The 24,204-nt window shown below is 43.4% G+C and overlaps 1 protein-coding gene across 7 annotated transcripts in view, besides 1 other annotated feature; it reads left to right on the top strand.

Annotated features, from left to right (window-relative positions):
* The window catches only part of ENTREP2 (endosomal transmembrane epsin interactor 2), a 557,698-nt gene that overhangs the window by 313,345 nt on the left and 220,149 nt on the right, over positions 1-24,204 (top strand). The gene's annotated exons all lie outside the window — the stretch shown is intronic.
* Positions 16,225-17,207: an enhancer, noted in NCBI's record as "H3K27ac-H3K4me1 hESC enhancer chr15:29637062-29638044 (GRCh37/hg19 assembly coordinates)". NCBI's record gives its function as "activates a minimal SCP1, AML or CMV promoter by ChIP-STARR-seq in primed H9 embryonic stem cells {active_cell/tissue: H9 hESC(primed)}" and the evidence as "EXISTENCE:reporter gene assay evidence [ECO:0000049][PMID:30033119]".

Raw genomic sequence — 24,204 nt, 5'->3', positions numbered from 1 at the left:
CAGAGTCTGTGTGTTTCTTTATGGCTGGAGTGATTTTCCTGTGATCCGTGTCTGTTGGTTAATGTGCTGTGAAGTGAGTTGCATGTAGCTGGACCCCAAGACCATGATACATTTCTTGATTACAATAAACCACTTAGTATCCCCAGGTGTGGGCATCAGCAAAGCTTAAGGATGTTTCCAGAAGAGGGGAAGAATTTGTCCAGCTGCTGCTAATGGAGGCTTTGTTACATGTTTCCTGGGGTGCTTCCCCATTGGACCTGTAAGTGTCTAACCCTGGGCTGATTCTGTAACCTGCCTGGTCAGCAGTTCCTTGTTCTATCTGTCCTGGATACATAAAGGACACCATCAGCACACCGTGAGCACAGAGTGGTCGTCAGAATTGCCATGAGATGAGGCTCAGAGCCTGTTGTGCCGCAGTAATGAAATGCATTGCACAGGGCCCTGAGCCGTGCAATGACTTGGAAACTAAGAAGGTTAAGATATGGTATTTAGGTTTAGGTTCTAGGTGAGGTTATGATATGAGTTGGGGAAATAAAAATATCAATAAAATGTTAAAGATACATAAAGTTGTATAAGATAATGGGAGGAAATTGCTGCAAGTTAGAAATCGAGAAATGAATTTTGTATATAATTTTTATTTAGAAAGATAAGAGGAAACTGGTGCCTACCTGGTGCTTTTTATACATTGGCCCAAGACAAGTATTCACAGCTGCATTTGAAGAGCATGTCCTTTTCAAAGGGATTATGTACTTGGGTAGCATAATACAAGGGTAATTGCTAAAGCTTGGATGGAGGAGTCTAGGTGTGTCTGATTTCAGAGGGCATGCTCTTTTCATTGTGTCATGCTGCTTCCACTAAGGTTGAAGTAGGAGAAGACTGATTCAGACTGAATCTTACAGTGAGAATGGGATTCAGCCCAAATATTATTGGATGGGTGGAGTTTGGGCGGGTAGATCAGAGAGTAGACTCCTTGCAGGCCAGCAGAACAACCAAGACAAAATCCAGGAAGCAGGAAAAGCACCAGGTGCAGGGGTCCAGGAGTAAATCGAGCTGTAGAAAGTTTTGGGAGAAAGGGACAGCCGTGGTGGAGCCACCAACAGGTTGTTGAGTCTTCTCTCCAGCCTCAGAGTCATTCTCAGCCTGTGCTCCAGCACTCCTGGCTTCAGGAGATGGGTGACTGCCCCAAGGCGGCTCAGCCTGTCCAGGGAATAGCTTCTCGGAAGTGCTTCCTGGACATACTCTAGCATCTGGCTCTCAGACCAGAGGAGTGATAGGGACTCTTTTTGCCCCCACACTGAATAATCACCTGCTGCTATGTTCCAGGAGAGAGCAAGGCAGCTGTCAGGGTGAGAGGATCCTCGGTCTCCTGTTCCACGTGGTATAAGCAGGTACTCTGGTCAGCTGGAGTTGTCCAGGGAGGAGCTGTGCAGGGTGATGTGTCAACTGAGAGTGGGAGGTGCAGTGAGCAGTGACATACTTGATGTATGTTTTGCTATGTGAGGAATTTAATTCACTGTATTAATGATGAATATTGCAAATTTCATAATCTTGTTTGTACAGATATCAAAATTAATCTATAGTTCACAGGAAATGGAGGATCTCGTGTTCAGTCTGTTCTTGACAAGAATTGTCTGATGTCTACCTTAGAAATTCCTGCCTCCTCTAAAATGCCCCCCTTTCCTAATGGACTTCCTTTGCCCTGGGGTCTTCATGGTCTCCTAATAGAAAAAAGTCATTAAGAAAAAATCTAATATGCTGAGGTAGCTCTAATATAAGAAAAGTAATAAATGAAGTGTCACTAGATTCAAAATGCGTATTCTTTCAGAAAGAAGGCAATTACCGTTATAAAGATATAGCGTTAGAAAAAATTATTATAACTGTGAAGTATGTGATATGTCTGTCTGTGGCACAGTTAATTTAAAAAGTATTACCAAGCATACAAATAAATCATCAGAATAAAATGCTGAACCATACTAATTGAAAGTGAATTTAATATGCAATTCTGAGGAACTCTCTCTACGTACCCAGGTTTTAAAAAATTCTACCTTATAGGCTATTAGTTACCAGATTTTCTTTCAAACATCCACCCTCTTTTAATGAAGAATATTATTCATGAACCTTATCTTTGATTCCTGAATAATTTTATGATATACAATAAATAGTGGGATGAAGTTGAAACAATTTTATTTTACCCTGATTTTCATGTGTATTTAATCAAATTGCTGTAGATCTATGTTTCCTTGTCAAAATATAAAAATTCTGATTAGTAAGGGAAGGAAGACTCAAAGGTTTCAAATTTGTTTTGCTCTTTAGTTTGTGTGGTTCAACAATAGATAGAATAATTGATTGAAACTGGCTGAGCACAGTGGCTCACGCCTGTAATCCCAGCACCTTGGGAGGCTGAGGTGGGCAGATCACGAGGTCAGGAGATCAAGACCATCCTGGCCAACAGGGTGAAACCCCGCCTCTACTAAAAATACAAAAATTAGCTGGGTGTGGTGGTGCATGCCCCTATTCCCAGCTACTTGGGAGGCTGAGGCAGGAGAATTGCTTGAACCCGGGAGGCGGAGCTTGCAGTGAGCTGAAATCATGCCACTGTGCTCCAGCCTGGGGGACAGAGCAAGACTCCGTCTTGGGGTTCAGAAAAAAAGAAGTTTTAAAAATCATGACTTTCAGCAGTGACTTTTGGAGGAAGAAAGGAGTCTGCCTTTCTTAAACGTGTGATATCCTCACCAAAACACAGATCTTTACAGTTATGGTTTTCCTGATAAGTGAGTATAGATGTGTATTACAGAAAACCTGGAAAATGCAGGGAAACAGCTTAGAAAACACTCCTTCGTGTTCTGCCCTGGCCCACAGCTACTGTTAGCTTTTGCAGTTTTTTTCCATAACAGCTTTTTCCTACATGATCCATATTCATGTTCATATTCACTGCGGCTCTTTCTGTCACATTTTGCTCTGTTTGGATGTTGGGATATTACTGTTCATTCCCTGTAGATTATATCTTTTAATAATATAAAGTGGTCTTGTCTCAATTTAGTGTTTTATTGTCTTGAATTTGGCTTTGTTTAAATTAGAGCACTGGGCTTGCTTTCCTTTAGTTTGAATGTGCCTGATATCTTTGCCCATCAGTTTTTCTTTAATTTCTCTCTGACATTTTCTTTCAGGTACATATCTTATAGAAATCAAATTGTTTAAAATAAGGGATTGAGTTATTATGAAATCTCTTTACTTATTTAGGGATTGTTTCAGTCACTCTTTTTATCTTCTTGTTTTTACACGTTTCTTCGGCACTTCTGTCTTTTATTCTGGTTTTTTTTTCTGATAAATACCACGTTGAGAGTGCTTTACTTTATGTAAATATTTAGACTGTAGGAATCTAGCTTTTTTTTCTACTGACAGTTATGTTTAAAATGTATTTCATCTTTTCTGTTTTAAATTAGGAAATATTTATTAATAAAATATTATTAAACATGAAATATATGACACGTACAATGAAATTCATGTATTGCTATGAAGCAGGCAATTGAAGGCCCCACCAACCAGCACCAGAAGTGTAAGCTGCCCACTCCAGGACCCTCCTGTGGGCTCCTTCCCATCTGGTCTCCTGCCTGTCTTCAGAGCAGAGATTCAAGGTTCATCATTCTTTTACACATATGTACACATCCCTAAATAATGTACTGCTTACTTTTGCTTTTGAACTTTGTGTAAATGGAATTGCACTTTATGTTCTTTGATTACTTGCTTTTTTTCATTCACCATGATATTTGTTGATTCATACGTGTTCATGTGTAGCTCTACATCAATTATTTTGATTGTTGTTGCAGTCTTCCATGGTGTGAATAGATCACAATATGTTTGTCTGTTCTCCTTCAGTGGCTGCATGGGCCATGTATATAATATTTTGTTCCTGTGACCTGTGTTGCTGTGAATGTTTAAATGCCCGTCTCCTCAGGTACATAGGCATGGGTTCCTCCAGGGCACTCACTTGGACATGAAATTGCTGGGTCATGGGCAGTGTGATTGATGAAATGATGTCGCATGGTTTTCCCAAAGCAACTGTACTCATGTAGGTGCCCCAAGTGTTCCGCATTCTTCATGGCATGCCTTGAGAGGTTTGCCAGTCTGGTGAGTGTGCCACGGCATCTCCAGTCCCAGTTGGTGCTCTCCTTGTTCCTAATGAGATCAACCAGTTTTTTTTTTTTTTCTTTTCTTTTCTTTTCAGAGTCTCGCTCTCTTGCTCTGTCGCCCAGGCTGGAGTGCAGTGGCACGATCTCGGCTCACTGCAAGCTCCGCCTCCCGGGTTCATGCCATTCTCCTGCCTCAGCCTCCCGAGTAGCTGGGACTACAGGCGCCCGCCACCACGCCCGGCTAATTTTTTTGTATTTTTTAGTAGAGACGAGGTTTCACCATGTTAGGCAGGATGGTCTCGATCTCCCGACCTTGTGATCTGCCCGCCTCGGCCTCCCAAAGTGCTGGGATTACAGGCGTGAGCCACCACGCCTGGCTGAGATCAACCAGTTTTATGTTGTGTTTCTTCTTCTGTAATATGTGAGTTTGTGTGTTTTACCCATTTGTGTCATTTCTCTTTTTCTTACTAATTTATAAAAGTTATTTATACTATATCTTCTGGTGCTGATTTCTTGGTGGAATATGTGAAAATACCCCCTCCGAGGCTTTGACTTACCATGTCATTTTTCTTATGGTTATCTTTATTAATTTATTAATTCCTTCACTGGGGATACTTTCTGTGCATGTATGTGATTATCTTTTATTAAGAAATCCTTCCCTACCTCGAAGTTGTAAAAACATTTGCTTCTTTTTTTTTCTCCCCTACAGAATCAGAAGTGTTGCTTTTCACATTTAATCCTTTAATCTACTTGGAATTAAATTTTGTATATGCTGTGAGACAGGAATTCTCTTTTCTTCTTTTATGCGTGACCAATTGTAGTGGCACTAGAATCTGTTTTTTACCATGACCTGCAGTGCCCACTTTGTTGTAAATACACTTTCTGTATCTCTGTGTGTCTGTTTCTAGGCACTCAGTTCTGCCCCTTTGGTCTGCTTTGGTAGTTCCTGTACAACAAGATACCTGTGAGGAGGAAGGGCCCCCAGCTTTCTCTTCCCTCCAAAGGCATCTGGGCTTTTCTTGGCCCTTTGCTCTACCATGGAGACTTGAGAATCAGCTTGTTGGATTTTATGAAAGACTCCCTTATTGGGATGTTTATTGGAGTTGTGTTTTATCTGTGTATCATTTTAGGGAGAATTAACATCTGTGTGATCCTAAATGGCCTTGACCATGGAATACTATATCCCTCCATTTGTTTTGGTCTTTTCCAGAGTATTTCATTGGAGTTTTAAGATTTTTTCTGCAGAGGACTTGCATATCTTCTCATGCACTTATCCTTGGTACCTTATTTTTAACTTCTATATCAATATGTTTTTAAAAAATACATTTCAGGCCAGGCGCGGTGGCTCACTCCTGTAATCTCAGCACTTTGGGAGGCCGAGGCGGGCGGATCACGAGGTCAGGAGATCAAGACCATCCTGGCTAACACAGTGAAACCCCGTCTCTACTAAAAATATAAAAAATTAGCTGGGTGTGGTAGTGGTCGCCTGTGGTCCCAGCTACTCGGGAGGCGAGGTGGGAGAATGGCGTGAACCCAGGAGGCAGAGCCTGCAGTGAGCTGAGATCACGCCACTGCACTCCAGCCTGGGCGACAGAGCGAGACTCCGTCTCAAAAAAAAAAAAAAAAAAAAAAAAAAAATATATATATATATATATATATATATATACACACACACACATATATATACATTTCATATCTTCTTCACTTCTAGACCATCTTGTTGATTTTTCAAAAGTATCCTCAACCCTACATTTATCAAATTACCAAAACCAAAGATAAAAATCTTCTCATCCTCACATCCTCACATAGAACAAGATGCACTTGTTTTAAGAATAGAGTTCAATGAGCTTCAGCAAATGTAAGTCCCTGGGTGACCACCATCGCTATTGGAACAGAGAACATTGCCTCGTAGGTAAGTGATACTCCCAAAAAAAGTCAATTTTAACATCTTTTCCTTATGGAAAAATGAGTAAATTAGCATTTTTTATTCTGTGCATCTAAAACCCCCTTCACATTTTAATTTTACATAGGGAACTCAGGTTATAAAGCCTCCTCTTCGTGGGACCCCTTATTTAGCTCAGCCATTCCACTCTCCATCATTTGCTTACTATCTGACTTCAGCTCTCTTACGTTCTGAATTTTCATTCATCTCTTCACCATGGGGACATGGGTGATATATATTTCCCACAGTGTATAAATGAAAGTAGCCATCTGTTACTTTCAATGTAAGAGTAATTTGGTTAGATTCAGAATTCTTGAGCAATCAGTTTTTCTGGCATTAGCAATTTGAGGAAAGGTCTGAAGCCAGTGTAAGTTTCACTACATAATGAGAACAGAATGATTTGTTCTGGGCTCTTCTCTGGAAGCATGCATTATTAATCATTTAAATCTCAGCTTCTGATCCTCCAAGTGTGAGGTTTTTTTTTTTTATTTGTATCACTCTGTCCCTTTTTTGGCATTCTCATGAATGCTTCTCAAATTTAAACTTCATCTTTGGTTTTTAAGCTTAAAAAAAAAAAAGCCAATGGGACCTTTAAAAACTCAAATTACTGTCCAGAACCACGGTTTATAAAACAGATCATGATACAGGGGCTCTGTCCTGGGGGATGCCTGGAGCACTTCATACTCAGTATCCCAGCAGGAAGCAGATGACATATTTAAATTGGGTAATGGGGAGTTTAATGGGGTGACTATTTACAAAGGTAGGGGCAGAAATGGTGAGGCTGTCAGGGCTAGCCATAGCTGAGAGCTGCCCTGGCTCCTGGACCTTAACAGCACAGGGAGGGAGTGGCTCTGGGGCCTGGAGTGAGACCTGAATTCGTAGGATTCACCCTGAGACAGGGGTGGCCTTTGGTGAGAGAATGCAGGCACTGGTCCTTTCCAGCAGAGAGGAAACAAATACCCCAGTTGCCATGCCTTGCCCACTCCAGTCTCCCCTCAGTGCTGCCCAAGTCTGAACCCAGTGGAAAACAGGGAAGCCTCATCAAGATCAGCCTCCAGGCAGCAGTAAAGGTGTATGGTGGATCTGGAGGGCAAACAGAAAAATCTAGCAAAATGAGGGGAAATGTAAAATACTGCTCTACAGAAAATATTTTTACCAGTTTTTTCTTTTTTTGCAGTATCTGGCCTGGTCTTAACTATTTCCAGTGCAGAGTTTTAACTGGTCCAGTCTCTCTTTCTGTTTTGGGGCAGTCTCCTTTTCTCTTGGTGTGTTTCCTTCTGGTCGCTAGCTATTCTCATCTCTTCCTTTTCTATCATTGAAACTTGTGCGTGTTTCATAGAGACAGTGTCTGTTTATCACCGTGAGACTCAGAAAATTTCTAAGAATTTACTCTGGTTTCATCAAAATATCTATTTTGGAGCCAGGCCCTCTCCCACCCCCGATCCCCTAGTGTCTTAGAACGTGTCTCCATTCTCTCATGATAGAAGGGTCTTAATTGAGCTGTGAATGTGTGTACACATATGTATGTCTTTTTATACATTCTTAAAAGGAAAGTGTATTAGGAGGACTCTCCAGAGAAACAGAACCAATGGGGTATACAGGACATTGATCATGGGAATAGGTTCATGCACTTGTGAAGGCCAAGAAGTCCCACAATCTGCCATCTCCAGGCTGGAGACCCTGGAAGGCTGGTGGTGTGCTTCAGCCAGAGCCCGAAGGCCTGAGAACAGGAGGAGGGGTGGAGCTGCTGGTGTTAAGTCCTGGAGTCTGAAGGTGGGAGAAGCAGAAGCTCTGATGGCCAAGGACAGAAGATGGATGTTCCAGCTCAAGGGGAGAGAGACGGCGCCCTTCCTCTGCCTTTTTGTTCTATGTGGGCCCTCAGTGGACTGGATGAGGTGCACCCACATTGGTGAGGGTGATCTTCTCTACTCCAGTCTACAGATTCAAATCCTAGCCTCTTCTGGAGACACCCTGACACACATACCCAGAAATGATGCTCAACCAGCTCTCTGGGTACCTCTTAGCCCTGTCAAGTTGGCTCGTAAAATTAAGCATCACAGAAGGTGATCTTTCTCTACTGGGAAGTAGTGTGATGTGCTTAAGGGTACAGACTCTATTTCTTACTGTATGGCCTCAAGTGACTTTCTGAACTTCTCTGTGCCTCAGTCTCCCCACTGGTAACATGGGGATCATAAGAGCTCCTCCATTGGGTGAGTAACTCTATCCCCGTGAGGCTCAGTTCATTCATTTATTTCATGGGGGAAAATGATAGAACCTACCTCCCAGGTGGTGGCAAGGCTTAGAACACAGCCAGGCAAATGAGAACCAGTGAATATGGGTGGCCATTGGTATTTCTATTGCAAAGGTTGTTGTAATGACTAAATGAGCTACTGTGTCTTGGGAGCATATTGCAGAGACTTGCACACAGTAAATGCAGTCAGTGTTAGCCTGCTGCATACATGTGTACTTCCATGCAACATACACACACCCATAGACATAGATTCATACGCTTATGTGTATACATGCATAGACACATTTACCTACCTACCTACCTACCTAAGTGCATACATTCATAAGCAAACAGCCCGTCCAGGTGGGACCTTCAGGAATGAGCTCCTCTCCTTCCCAGGCAGACACACAGGGCTCTTGTCTGGCGGGTGGGTCCTCTTCATGGCCAGTTCTCTTTTGCGTGCAGCACTTAGTCCCATCTTTTTTTCTGGATCCCCATCAAATGCACCAGTCCATAAGAGACTAAAGACAAAAACCTTTTCAATCACCTAGGAGAGAACATATTGCCATTCTGTGCAATGGGGAGAATAAATTATTTATATATTTTTAAACATTAAAAAAAAATGCCGCTGTGTGTTACCTTTTAAAAGGCTGCTGCTATCCCACATTTTCTGACCTGTGAAAGGGAATGTGAGTTTTATAACTGATATTCATGTGCCATAGTGAATATGCTCTAATGTAAGTGTCATCCCCATGCAAATTCTAAGTCACTTGGCACAGAGCAAGATTTGTATGGGTTTAACCTAATAGAAACAAGAGATAGAACTCACATTATGTATGTTGACTAATAGAATCTGAAAAGCTGTCGAATGATGAGGGGTGAATAATATCAGGTGATAAGCAAATGAGCCAAGTGGTTGGCAGAGGAGAACAAGAAGAAAAAATTCTAAAAGATGTCTGAAGGGAAGTTGATAAGCAAAAAGGAATAAAATAATCTGACAAATGAGCTAATAGCAGCTCCTAAGAAAAGTATCGGTTTGGCTGGCAAACAGTGACAGGCGGCGGTATGTCAGAGTGAGCGGCAGCCAGGGTGTGGGGATGAATGCGGAAGGACAGGCTCATCAGTGTCTGCATGATGAGTGAGTTAGTAAATCTGCCAGGTGATGAATGAGCTGGTGATGCACATCAGACAGGTGACAGGCGAGCGGTTACAAGAAAGAGTGGAGGCAGCCGGGGAATGAGACCGAAGGGCTTCAGAATGTAATTTCATAAGCAGGAAGAAACCGTGTACCTAATCACAGTATCTGATCTGCTTTGGCAACTGTCAAAAACAATAAAACTTCCATTGAAGTTAAAACTAAGACTCTGTGTAATGTGCTTGTGGCTATTAATAATGATTTGCCTTATACACCACCCACTTGCTAGCTCTCACCGCCTTCATTCCTGGGGATTTCATCTGTAAAGTGGGGAGAACAGTGTTAACCTCCATCATTCTATATGGGATCTTTTGAGGATTAAATTTCCTATGAAGCCAGGTGCAGTGGCTCACACCTGTAATCCCAGTGCTTTGGGAGGCCAAGGCAGGAGGATTGCTTGAAGCCAGGAGTTAGAGTCCAGCCCGAGCAACATAGTGAGACCACATCACTACAAAAAATTTAAAAATTAGCCCGGTATGGTTGCACACACCTGTAGTCACAGCTACTCAGGAGGCTGAGGTGGGAGGATCGCTTGAGTCCAGGAGTTCAAGGTTATAGTTAGTTATGATTGTGCCACTACATTGTTGCCTGGGCAACATAGCAAGACCCTGTCTACAGAAAGTAAAATTAGTTGGACGTGGTGGCTCGTGCATGTAATCCCAGTGCTTTGGGAGGTGGAGGTAGGAGGATAGCTTGAGACCAAGAGTTGGCAACAAAGTGAAACCCCCTACCCCATCTCTACCAAAAAAAAAATAAAAAAGCTGTGTGTGGTGGCATGTGCCTGTAGTGCCAGCAACTTGGGAGGCTGAGATGGGAGGATTGCTTGAGCCCAGGAGTTTGAGGCTGCAGTGAGCTATGATTGCAATGACTGCACTCCAGCCTGGATGACAGAGTGAGACCCTGTCTCAAAATAAAATAAAATAAATAAATTTCATATGAAATAGTTAGAACATTACCTAGCATGTGATAAGTAACCAAGAAACTACTGTTAGTTGCTATTGATATTGTTAATCATCTTATTGTTATTACTTTTAATTTTTCGTTTCTGTTTCATTCTTGGAGTATAAACATTTATCTTGCACATCCTTAGTTCCTAATTAGCATATCACTCCTCCTGTTATTATTGATCACACACCTGTTATTATTGATTACAAAAATAAGAAGACTCCCATGTCATCTGTGGAATGAATAAAATACAGTTTTGTGCTGCATAATGATGTCTATAATGGTCCATCGATGACAGACCACATATAGGACAGTGGTATTGTATCACATTTTATGCACTTTGTCTATGTTTAGATATGCTTAGATACACAAATACTTACCATTGCATTACAGTTGCCTACAGTGTTTAGTACAGTACATGCTGTGCAGGTTTGTAGCCCAGGAGCAATAGGCTACACCATATAGCCTAGGCATGTATAGTAGGCTATGCCATCTAGGTTAGTGCGAGTGCACTCTCTGAGGTTTGCACAATGATGAAGTTACCATTTGCATTGCTCAGAATGACACATTTCTCAGATTGTATCTTTGTCATTAAGTGACTTGTGACTGCATTGATGTGTTCTCTTATCTCTTATGAAATGTATAAATGTATGTGTATTATATATATATTTATTTATTTATTTTAGACGGAGTCTCACTCTTGCTCAGGCTGGAGTGCAGTGGCGTGATCTTGGCTCACTGCAGCCTCTGCCTCCTGGGTCAAGCGATTGCCCTGCCTCAGCCTCCCAAGTAGCTGGCATTACAGGCGCACGCCACCATGCCCAGCTAATTTTTGTATTTTTAGTATAGACAGGGTTTCACCATGTTGGCTAGGCTGGTCTCAAACTCCTGACCTCAGGTAATCCACCCAACTCGGCCTCCCAAAGTGCTGAGATTACAGGCGTGAGCCACCATACCCACCCTCTCTTATGAAATATTAATAATTATTGCAAAACTTTTGGTGGGAGCTTTAGGAGTTTTTGTTTGTTTTTGCAGTTTTCAGTTACTTTTCACATTTCACAAACACCAGAGATAAACTTAAATTTCTGTTTGAAATTCTTAATCAAAGTAAATGCATACATTCACAAAAAGAATAAGTAAGATTAAAGGAAAAGTAACGAAATGGATATCCAAGAAGCAATAGAGGCAATCAAAAATTCTTTGAAAAGAGTTATAAGTACATACACCTGTTATTGATTACAATAAAAGAGAAGAAACATGAATAATGGAGAAATATGAAAGGAAAATAATATAAACAAGAGATTTCAGACATGATAATCAGCAACCTTATGCCAATATATTTGAAGATTTAGATGAGATGGCTTAATTTATAAATAATATAGCCAAACTTAAGAAGAAATAGAAAACCCAAACAGAAATAGTTATTAAAGAACTCAAATTAGAGTTGAAAAATCCCCCTATTTCTTAATAGACACCAAGTTTAGATAGTTTTGTAGGCAGATTTTAGCAAATTTTAAAGAAATAGCTAGTAGAAACAGGAGTAGAAAGCAATATAATTTATAGCTTGGTTGGTAGTGTTTGTATTTCAGGGTGTGGGAAGCCCTTAAATGGAGATGCCTATAGGCAGGCATAAGATGGTTTTCAGTACCTGCAGAAAAGGGAAAACAGCTCCAATTAATTAATTAATCAATTAATTATTATTTTTATTTATTTAATTTATTTTGAGACAGAGTCTCGCTCTGTCACCCACGCTGGAGTGCAGAGTGGTGCTATCTCAGCTCACTGCAACCTCTGCCTCCTGGGTTCAAGCAATTCTCCTGCCTCAGCCTCCCAAGTAGCTGGGACTACAGGTACGCGCCTCCACGCCAGGCTAATTTTTTGTATTTTAGTGGAGACGGGGTTTCACTGTGTTGCCCAGGCTGGTCTCGAACTCCTGAGCTCAGGTAATCCACCTGCCTTAGCCTCCCAATCCTATTAATTTATTAAAGGTTAGTGTGCTGTCTTCTCCCCCTTGCTATGAATTAGTTGGGTTATCACTATAAGTTTTCCATACTGTAGGAAACCAAAACACTGCCTTCTTCCTATTTCTGGCAGCTTGGGGATGCTCCTAAATTGCAATATCATTTATATTGTTAGTTTACATTCCAGTTTGCCAGTATGCCATGTAAATAAGTCCCATACATGAGATGCAAAAAGCCAAAATTCATTTATTCATGATTGATGCCAATTTGTATGCAATATAGCTTGTACACATTCCTGATTAAACTGTTCTGTTTGTTTCAGCAGATATGTTAACAATCTGGAGTTCACATCTCTGACTTTTGTTTTGTTTTTGCAGTTGTGTAGACATAAAACTGAGTCTTCTCATTTTATTTTTTTTAATGCGAGTAAGTACGTTAGGATTTTGCTTTTCACTGTACCATGCAGGAAGGAGCCCACATGTTTCCTGATGGGAGCTGGTTTTGCAGGGCCACGGGAGTTGTGTGCATGTGTGACAGTCTGTGAACTTTCGGGGGGTCTGGAAAGAAGACACCGCCGTAGAGGCGGCAGCCCCAGATCAGCTGTGAATCGTTCATCATCCAGGCCCTGCTCTGCCAACTGGACTTTTTGTTAATTGCAACTTCAGTTGATGAGATATTTGAGTTATGGTTATCAAATTAGGTCTCAGATGCTGAGTGATCTTGTTGGCCAATGTTAAGTTATTTTATCAGAATTCAGAAGTTAGGCCACAATTCTATGAAAGGGAAAATCATGATTAAATTTTCATTTATACCGCTTAACTTATAGGAGACAGGTTCCCACCTGGTGCTGAAATGGAACTGTGTGGTTTTACTCATATGACACCATGGGGCTGAAAATATTCTTCTGTGAATTCTTGTGTGACTTCTTTATGGCCTTTGGCCATTTTCCTACTGGGGCTGGAGTTCTCAAGGTTGTGCCAAATCGCGGGTCACATTGCAGAAGCCACATAACCCCACTTCTTCAGAGCTACTTTTGCGAACCTTTCAAAGCTCATTCCAAATCCTGTCACTCCTGTAATGGAAATGCTCCGAAGACTCCACATTCTCTCAGGCTAAAAGCCAACTCCTCCATCTGCAACCACCCCTCCCACTCCCGAGCCGGTCTTCCTGGATTCTCCTCTCCAGCTCAGCTCCAGCCACACGCCTCCACACTGCTCCCTGAGTCGGGAACATTGTTCCTCACGTAGCTGCAGCCCTGCGGCCCTCTTCTCGTTCTGTTGACATTTCAGTGAGGCCAGACCCGTTCAACATTGCTGCTCCCTGTCCTAGACCTCCCCCTGTTTCCATTTCCCCCACTTACCACCTTCTAATACCCTATATGATGTATCAAGCCTCTTGCCCTCTCACTGTGTGAAATTTACTTGACAGTTTTATTCACTGCCGCATGCCCAAACTGAGAACAGTGCCTGACACATTGAAGACATACACAGATATTTTTGGACTCAATAAATGCATTCAGGATTCAGCACTTAAAAGTTGATGTTTTTTCAAACTCTAGTGCAAGGTTGGACATGTATTCCTTATAGATTTCCCCTCACTCTGGTAAGCTCGCCCACCCCTTGCACCCTGACGCAGAATCTGACAATACTCCCCACCCATCCCAGATGGTGCCCCTCTATATTTGTTACACCTGACTCTCTGTGCCCTCCAGAATGCCATGACAGTGAATGGAAGTTTGGTCTCCCAATACAAGGCTCTGGGCTGCAGGAGAGAAATTAAAAATCTGAATTGACCTCTGCCTCGCAGATACCGTGTCTACATGCCTTGATCCTGTCAGTAAAAGAGCAGTGAGTGTTGCAGTTGCTGCTGTGTTGGCGAGCCTGCGTAGACTCCTGATGAGCCCTTCTAGGTGCTGACGGACTTCATGTGAATGCTTTGTTCCAGTTGCCCCTTATCTTCTTTTCAATCACAATCACTTTGGTCCATCGTTTCCTAGCACTTTCCTTTCTCCATGGTTTTTAAGGTAAAAACTATTTTCTTGTAGTAGGACATTGTATTTTTTTGATTTGTTTTCTGATTCTGAAGTCCTAAGTCTCTTTGTGACTATGGGTATCTATATTAAATGAAATAATGATCTCCTGTAGAAAAAATAGTGAAAAGAGATGAAAAATTTAAAAATTAAGATGCCATAGGCTCAGCGTGGTGGCTGACACCTGTAATTCCAAGCTTTTTGGGAGTCTGCGGTGGGAGGATTGCTCGAGGCCAGGAGTTGGAGACCAGCCTGGGCAACACAGCGAGACCTTGTCTCTATAAAAAATAAAATAAAATAAAATTAGCCAGGCACAATGGCATGGGCCTATAGTCCCAGCTATTCAGGAGGCTGAGGCAGAAGGACTGCATGAGTCAAGACAGTGAGCTATAATGGTGAAGCTGCACTCTAGCCTGGGTGACAAAGCAAGATCTTGTCTCAAAAAAGAAAGAAAGAAAGGAAAAGAAACCATACACGAGACAGGAAATGGTTCCTTCTTTTAGAAGAAACATGGCAGGATCAGTTTGGATTGCATTTAAACAGGGCTTCTCTGGGACTTTTCAGATGGCTGTGTGTATGAGGCGGTTCTGACATGAATCCAAACTTTTCTTTGGACCATGAATAACTAGTTACAGATCGCATTGGAAGCAAATCAGAAGCTATAGTTTTAACTCTTGGCCTATGGCTTAAAATTCCAATTTATGCCCAGAGAAGCTGGGGAGGACTAGATTTGATCAGAGCTTTCATTTAAGATGTGACTTGCGCCTTTTGGAGGTTAGCTTTAGCTTTAGTGTGTGGCCAAAAATCTTGAAAACAAATAACTGTGAAATTGGAGCATTTTCTGAAGTTTACTGTTATTTATAATTTAAAAAAAGAAAACTCACTAAATAATGTCATAAATCTTCTTGGTTTACACAGAGGATAATAAGCTTTAATTAAAGATGAGAGGGAAGTGAAATACGAATTTGGATGTCAGCAGAAAGGGCTGTTTAAAGCTAAATGAAAGTACTCTTTTTGTGGAACCATTCTGTGAAATATCAAAAATTTAGTTAATGTGGATATTTGACTTTAATGGGAGTAATTTATGGAGAAAATGGGAACCAGCAGGCTTGACTTCCCTAGTAAACCAGAGGCTCTACACTGACCACAGCCCCTGCCTGGGTCCCTTCTCTTCTACTGTCTTGGGGTGGGGCTGAGATCCCAGGCCCTGCGGACAGAAAGAGCAAAGATCCGTGTTTTTGTGCCAGGACTCCTGGCTTGGAGCACAGGCCCAGCTGGATTTCAGCCTGAGGCACCTTTAGAACAAGCAGTCCCCGGCCGGTGAGTGGCAGTTCTCAAACCCTCTCTCTCAGAGCATGTCCCCAGTAATTGGTGACATGCTCTGCTTCCCTGGCTTCTGCCTCGGCGTTTGTCTGACTTTGTTCTTAGCTTTTGGCTTCCTCCTTGCCCTTGCCCTCCCTGATTTCTGCCAGCCTGGACCCTCCAGGTTCTCTTCTTGGCGTCGTTGTGCAGCGCAGCTTCTGCCTTTGAGTGCATGGGCTCTGGAGCTCGTTCGCCGAGCGGGATGCTTGGCTCTGCTGCTCACCAGCTGGGCAGCCTCAGAAAGTTAGCTTCTCTGTGCCCCAGTTTCCTCTTTTGGAAAACAAACTCATAGTAATTTGTGGAATTGGTGTGAGAATTAAAATAGTTAATAATAAGGTGCTTAGGTTGGTGTCTGGCAGGTAATAAATGTCCGCTGCGATCATCATCATCTTGCCTCACGGGGACGTGCTTTTGATGGGCAGTGTGGCCTGCACTCCTGGGGATGTAAATGAGGTGATAGGAGGGGCCTCAAGTCCTTGGTCTCCTCTTTGCATTCCTAACAGCTCTCCCCGCTGGGGTTGTTTTTAGCCCAGAAGCAGAGCCCAGGACAAGGAAGCAGGTGTGAGGAGCTGGGGGGGATGTGGGGCAGGAGAAGGAATCCCTGGGGGGTGTTATCAGGGCTGCCACTGTGAGCCTGGGGGGTGCCTGGAGCCGTACAGAATGTCCCAGAACTGTCCCCCTGAAGAGGGCATGCGGGGCCTTGTTCCCATTCCCCCTAATTGTTTCCTCTGGGGGCATCAACTCTCCTGTGTGCAGGGGGCCAGGTGGGCTTGCAGGGGTAGAAGGGGCCTTGGTGCAGAAAGCAGACAGCCTTGGCGGGGAGCGGAGGTGGGGTGTGCTTGCCCAGCATCCCTGTCTACCCCACCCCAGGGCTGTGCTTGTGCTCTGTCCCAGCCCCATCTCTGCTCCCCGCTAGCCCCACTCGGCTGAGCTGCTCACAGGAAGGACCCTGGCATTACTCCTGAAAGGCCTAAGGGTCACGAGGAACTTCATTCAAGAGATGATCCATGTGATATGTTTCCAAATACAGCCTCTAGAGACAGCTTTCAAGAACTATCCAAAGACCTATATGTCTCCTAATATTCCCATCAGTTACGGAGGAGGAGCCAGCATTTAGTAAGCACTTACTACCTACGGTACGGGCACTTGTAGCCTTAGTGGTCATCATTGCGTTCGGATTTCATGACAGTTCTTTATGGTGGGATTATATTGTTCCCACTTAATGTAGGGAAAGGCAGCCTTGGCAAAGGGAAACAACCTCCAGAAAGTTATGTAATAGAGCTGGGATTAAACACAGACGTGTGTGTGTGTGTGTGTGTGTGTGTGTGTGTGTGTGTGTCTGCGCGCGTGCGTGTTTAATCCAAAACACAGACTCCTCACCATGAGTTTACCTGGCTCTATAATGCTATGCATGCAGTTTCTTTTAGCAGGGCACTCCTCATTTCAATAAATAGCTCTGTCCTCTGCCTCTGTCAGCCCCTGGGAGTCAGGCCTCTCTGTGGACGCTGCACTGTGGATGCTTGGGGACACGCTGTCTGTCCCAGGACCGAATGCAGTCTGAGTGCCCAGTGTTTCTCTGTGGCACTGACCTTCCACCAGAGGACACTCCTCCCCACTCCACCTCTGGTGTGGAGCAGTAGCTGGGTCAACTAAGGCAACTTACTTGAAGAAATGTCATCAGGTGCCAGCTCAGCAGTCACTGGAGTGGCCCAGAAAGCCCCATGTGTTATGAACATCAGCAGGTGCATAGCAGGGTGCTGCTAATAAAAGTAAAGACCCTTCTATAAAGCCCCTTCTTCTGAGGGTGAGAGGAATGTGTCCCAGATGGTAATACTTTTCTTCAATCTAGCAGGGAGGAAGTTCCCTGCTACAAACAAGATTACATATGTTTAGGGTTTGAGTTTCCTGTAAAATGGTGTGTACTTCCAGGATGAAGCTCTTGTTATGCATCATTCTTAGTTTTTATTAAACATTTAGATTTGGCTTAAAAAGTGTTGGTTTACCCTGGACATCTCTGAATCCTTGCACGCAGCGTGAAGCGTTTTGGGGAGGTGGCACCTGTTCCCTGGAAAGTCTCCCCAGCCACAGGCTGGCCACTCCAGCCCAGGTCGTGGCCTGGCCTCTTTGCAGATTGCCACAAGTTATGTTTGCCCACCTGGTGGGGTCAGGAGTGGAAGAGTTGGTGAGAGTTAAACCTTGTATCAAATGCTTGGAGGATACACCAGATTTGTAGAATATTATATGGATTTAAATATGGTATATAGGTTCATGTTTAAAAGAATTGCATCTCAGTGCTTTTAAAAATTGTCTTCTTCCTGAGCAGTTCATCTTTTGGATAAACCTGGATAATTCTCTTTTTTTGTATCTTAAATTTCTATAAAACAAATAACCTTTATTGCTTAATTTATAGAGCATTTATTTTATTTTATACCTAAAAGTTGATTTTGCCCCAAATTTTACTTTCTGTTTTGAGTAGGTGAGATATTTACACGGCTTAAAGTTTCTAACTATAACAAGGCCTAAACTGAGAATTCCCATTACCACCCCTCCCTCATCCTTCCCACACACAGTTACTGTACTCATTTTTTGTGGAATCCTCCAAGTGTTCCCGTGTTAATCAGGGTTCTCCAGAGTAACAGAACCAATGAGAGGAAGAGACAGAGAGGGAGAGAGAAAGAGAGAGAAAGAGAGAGAGAGCGCCTGGTTTTTTTTTTAAAGGAATGGACTCACCTGATTGTGGGGGCTGGCAGGCCTGAAATCTGTAGGGCAGCAGGGAGGCTGGAGGTTAGGTAGGTGTTGAGGTTTCATTTGTGAGTCTGAATTCTGCAGGCTGGAAACTCAGCTGGGCTTTCTATGTCACAGTCTTGAAAGGAATTCCTTCTACTTGGGGAACCTCAGTCTTTGCTCTGAGGGCCTTTGACTGATTGGATGAGGCCCCCCGCAGTATGGAGGGTAATCTGCTTAACTGAGTCTATTTATTGTAGATATGAATTACATCTAAAAGGACAGCCACAGCAACATCTAGACTAGTGTTTAACCAAATGACCAGGCACCATAGCTTGGCCAAGCTGACATATAAAATAACCTATCATACTTCCTTTATGAAAATATAAACAAATAAGAACATACGTGCCCACATTCTCTTTCTCAGAGAAAAAGGGGTAGAATATGTACCTTCGCTTTTTCCACTTCACAATGCATTTGGAGATCTTTCTAAATCTGGACCGAAGAACCACCCCCCCCATTCCTTTTTACCAGCTCATATAGTATTCTTTGCAGCTATCAAATTTTGATAAATGTGACCATATCAAAGCAAAAACTTTTACGTGGCTAAATAAATAAAATAAAATTTCTAAGAAAGTATGCAAACTTAGAAGCAAAGTACCAAACTGGGAGAAATATTTCTAATTCAGATCGTGAATAGTTCCTGCATTCTAGAAGTTTATAAGAAAAAGACCACAAATATCCAAAAGAAAAATGGGCGGGGTCAGAGAGCTCACAGAAATGGCCTAATCACATGAAAACACTGTGAACCTCGTGGTAACAGAAATTACAATTAAAACAACAGTAAGATATTGTATGTCACCTGCCATGTCAGGCAAAAACCCACAAGCTGGAGAACATAATCTTTCACTGAGGCTGGGGTGAAACAGACCTTTTCACATTTTGCTAAGAGGAGTGTAAAATGCCCCCCCAACCAGCCCCAGGAGGATAATTTTTCAGAATTAAGACAATTATAGGTTAATTCACGCTTTGACTCAGGAATCCCGGTTCTGGAATTTGATCCTGCAGAGAGACCTGTACATCGGAAGGGAGACTTCGTCGCACTATGGCATGTGATGCAGAAGACTGAGAACAACCAAGAATCTCTGGGAAGCACTTATCTCTGGCATGTGCCCGATGGGAAATCTGCAGTTGTTTCGCATTCCTATAGAGCTGAAAGCTTGCATTAGGGCCACAAAGATAATGGAATCAAGATGCATGGAACGCACAGCAGTCCCTTTCCCTCACCTCCCTGCCCATACACATACAAATCCCACCAGCTGTTCCTTCAAAAGTTACCTGCAGTCCGTCCCCTCATCGCCATCTGTATGGCCACCTCTTTGGTTTCAATTGCCATCCCCCAACTTCTGCAGCAGCCAGAATCAGGGCACCTTCTGCCCTGCATGGCGGCCTGGCCAAGGGTTGGAATCTGCCTCATCACTTAGAGCAAGGGGTGGTCTTTTCTACTTGCAACATTACCCCTCTATGGGCTTGAGGGTCCAACCAGTATACTTCTTTAAAGATGTAAATAGGATTCTGTCAATAAAAAGTCGTCTGAAAGCTTTCAGTGGCTTCTTGACACATATAGGAAAAAATTAAAAAAATTTTCCTCCACCTGCAATGCTTTGCTCAAGCTGCTGACTTCATCTGACAATATCCTGTAGTCCAGCGCCACGGGCCTCCTGACAGTTTCTGTAACTTTCCACGGTTTCTCTCCGTGCTTGTAAGGTGCTTCTCCCGGTTCTTTTCCTGCAGGCTCCAGGCCCAGATGCTACCACCTTCTTTATAGAAGGCCCCCAAGACCCGGGAGTACTTCACTATTCCCTTCCACGGCGCTTGACACAAGATGCAGCCTTTGCTTCCTCGCCACTCCCCCTTTTGACTCTGACTTTCAAGGGGCAGGGGTCCTGTCTGCGCGGCACCTGGAACATGTGAGCGTGTGTTGCATATTATGTTAGTGATCAGGTTTGCATGTTGTGGAGTGATTCACTAGCACTTGTCAGGGCCACTTCTGCAGAGCCTTCATCGAGCTGCCCAGACCAGTTCAGCTTTCACTGGCCAATGTGCCCGTAGCACCCTGGTTATGACCCGTGAGTGTTCATTAGCCTTGTTATGCCTCTGTGCCTTGTAGCTGAGCTGAGACAAGAGGGCCTGCCCTGTGAGTAATTAATGGATGAATAACTGATCGAATGTTGAAAGAATGAATGGGCAGTGAACAAAGGTATAAGCAAATGAATGAGCAAATGAATAAACCGAAAAATGAATGAGGCAGAGTGAGTAGGGTGGAAATTAGGAATTCTAGATTTTAGTTGTAGCTCTGACACAAACGACGAAGGTGTGATGGGCAGGACATGTCTACTCTATAAGCCTTCAGAGGCACCTGGCCTCTCCTTGGGAGTATGTGGCACAGTTGTACTTCCCTAACCAGCCCTGTGGTTATTGGTTCTCTCCTTCACTGGAAGGCGGGAGTGATAGTGTGAGATGGTGCTGGCTCCAGTTAGTTCACTGTGTGTCCCAGCTCTCCCATGGGGCCTGGCATATTTGAGTCATAAATAAGTGAAATAGTAAATGGATAAAGGGAAAATAGAATGGAAATTAAAACTGGGGTTGGGGGGAGGATACAGAGAAACAGGAGTAGACAGTCCATGACTCTGAAGTTCTGGAAAGCTTGAAATGGCACGGATGCTTCTTGAAGGGGTTTGGGACTTTTTCATCCACCCATCTCTCATACATGTGATTTCCTCGGCCACCTTGCCAGATCTCCATTATCTATTTTTATTTTTTCAATGTATTAGTAACAGTCATGCTAACACTGTTGGATGAGAGATGGTAGAAGCTTCCTACGATAATTGGTTTTCTGTTAAAATAAAAAGTTCCAATATTAGAATCATCACAGTTTCACATATGCTTAGCATTATTAGAACAGCTCTTGTTCCAGGTAGTTTTTGGTGTAGGGTCTAACCCAGCATTCCCAGTGAGGCTGCAAACACATTTGGTCTGAAAGGAATGTAGCATTCTTCTGAGTGGTCCCCTCCCCTGCACTGGCCCTCTGTTCATCCCTGCCCTGCTCCAAATCCACCCTCCCTGCTGTAGAACTTGTCACTTCAACACCCTGCTACGTCCCCTCTGATGCTTCCCCATTGTCTACAGAGGAAGCATGAAATTTATCAGCAAACTCCTATTCTTCCTGCAAAAACCCACTGAGATGTCGTTCCTGATACCTCCTAAACTGGGCCAACTTCAGAAGGCATTTCTTCATGCCACTACAAAACCCAGTATATGTATTGTATTGGATACAGGGTGGTTTTGTCCTCATTTGGGGCAAAGTTGCAGAATTATGGCCATTTTGCAGTTTTCTCTGGTTACCATGGTTGCATCTAATTGACAGACTCCTTAAGTCAGTTTTATCTTGCAGCAACTTGGAAGCAGCCTTTAAGATAAACTGTGTAAAACACCAGTGCTTCAAGAGAATCTTAGTGTCTTATCCTAACACAAATACTAATTCTGAAATATACCCAGCTAGAAAATCAGAATACGATAAAATGAAATAAGAACCTTGTATGGCAAAAATATCTATCTGGCGACTCCATCTGAAGGCGGAGGGATGGCCATGGCCGATAACATCAGGTGATGAATCAGTTGAGCCGCCTACTGGGCAGCACCTTCACCCACGTCCCATCTTCAGGACCTCGTTTGACATAAGCAGTTTATTAAACGGGAATGTTTTCATATGTTAATGAGTGACTTTAGAGTGATGAGATGACATGCCTTACAGTGACAGTTCTTTATATCTGGAAATCTTCCTAATTAGACATCTTTCTCGCAAGTCAAACGATGTAATTTATCTCGAAGTTGTACGTAAATTGGAGTGCTGCTGGGGGCCACTGCTGTTGTCATTAAAACGTTATTTGGTAAATTAAATCTGTATTTAGTTCAGATCTAATGATTGAAATATTATGGTGACATATGGTAGAGAGAGCACTGAGCCTGTTACAGCGCACGAATTTTCTTTCTGTCTTCACTTCACAGTTCATCCCCACATCCCGAAGCTGCACACCTGTCCCAGTTAAACACGGATCCTTGGATGGATCTCTCATATCATGCCTGTCTGTCCCCAGAAAGACCTGGTTACCTGTTCCATCTCCACCCCACTAGCCATTAGAATGTCTTTTCAATTTTCCCTGCTGTTTCTCCCTTATTTGACCCCCTTCTCCCTTATGCTAAGAGCCACTCTGAAGGCCTGGGCCCATGGGTCTTGACTGTCACTGGCCCCAGCCCTCTCCCATGGCATCAAAGCCGAATGGAGGGGTGGGCCGCTGGGCAGCTGCCAGGGGCCCTATCTCGTGCCAACTCCACTAGTGCTGGGCAGTAGCACATCACTGGACCAAATCACTGAGGTTTTGCAGGTGATGGACTTGCAGTAGAGCTGGTGAGTCAGGAGTCAGCACCTTCCTGTTGCTGAGATTGGCAGTGCCTTTGAGGGCAGTGGAGAGACACATAAAACCCCACCCCATCCAAGTGTTCCCTGGTCCCTGATGTAGAGGACTGGGCCTGGCACAGGCTCTCGGGCCCTGCTACATTCAGCTGAAAATCTGAAACTGAGTGGGGAGTATTATTTGCTGGGAATCAATAATTCATTGTATGATGTAAATTTTAAATGTTTACTATGCCTCCCACAACCGTTTTATTTGGAAATGGTATTTTTAAAAACCTTACTTTGCAATTAAAAAGAAAGGCATAATATTTTTTATTAAAAGAAAACCAGTTTACTCCCGTCCCTCCTCATGAGTGTTGAAGAGGTATTGAAGGAACATCAAGCTGGGTGGTTGGAGGAGGGAGTGGGTGGAAAGTTAACCCAGTCAGCCAGCCATCTAAGTGATGGCTGGCCGAGGAGCTCTTCCAGACACCAGTGCCCTATGGAGGCGACACAAAGAGACATCCTCTGTGTCCTCCAAGGCAGCTGCCTGCATCCGTGCTCTTTGTTCAGGCTGTGGTCCAGAGCCCTCTCAGGGGCTGACCTCTCCACGTGGCCATCTGTGCCTGCCTGGTTTCTTTTTTTTCTTTTCTTTTTTTTTTTTTTTTGAGATGGAGTCTCGCTCTGTTACCCAGGCTGGAGTGCAGTGGCGCGATCTTGGCTCACTGCAAGCTCTGCCTCCCGGGTTCAAGTGATTCTCCTGCCTCAGCCTCCTGAGCTGCCTGGTTTCTTAGTCTCATCTCCTATTCCAACCCTTGTCCTACCTCATCACCACCCTCCTCTTCACTCCTTATATGCAGAGGGGCTGTGGGACATGCACTCCTCACTCCCTAAACTGTCCCTTATCAGTGGATTTGATGGCACCTTGCCCACACTCAAAAGTGCCCTCCCTGTGAGGTTGGTTGGGCACATAGCTCTGCAGTCTCCTGTCTGCAGGCACTGGGCGAGATGATATACGTACATGTATGATGATATAGATACATATGATAAAGATATGTAAGATTCCTTTTTGCAAAGGAATCTTTGCAAAAAGAAGGTGTTGTTGTCACCTTCATTTGACAGATAAGAAAAATGACCCTCAAAGAGGTTGAATGATTTGATAAAAGTCAACACAACTATGAAGTGTCACAACATAGAGAGCTCAGGCTTTGGGATGCCTGGATGGGAATCCCA

Source organism: Homo sapiens, chromosome 15 (assembly GCF_000001405.40).
Source record: "Homo sapiens chromosome 15, GRCh38.p14 Primary Assembly".
Classification (NCBI taxonomy): Eukaryota; Metazoa; Chordata; class Mammalia; order Primates; family Hominidae; genus Homo; species Homo sapiens.
The sequence above is the reverse complement of the archived record's forward strand: the minus strand, read 5'-3'. Positions and strand labels throughout refer to the sequence as shown.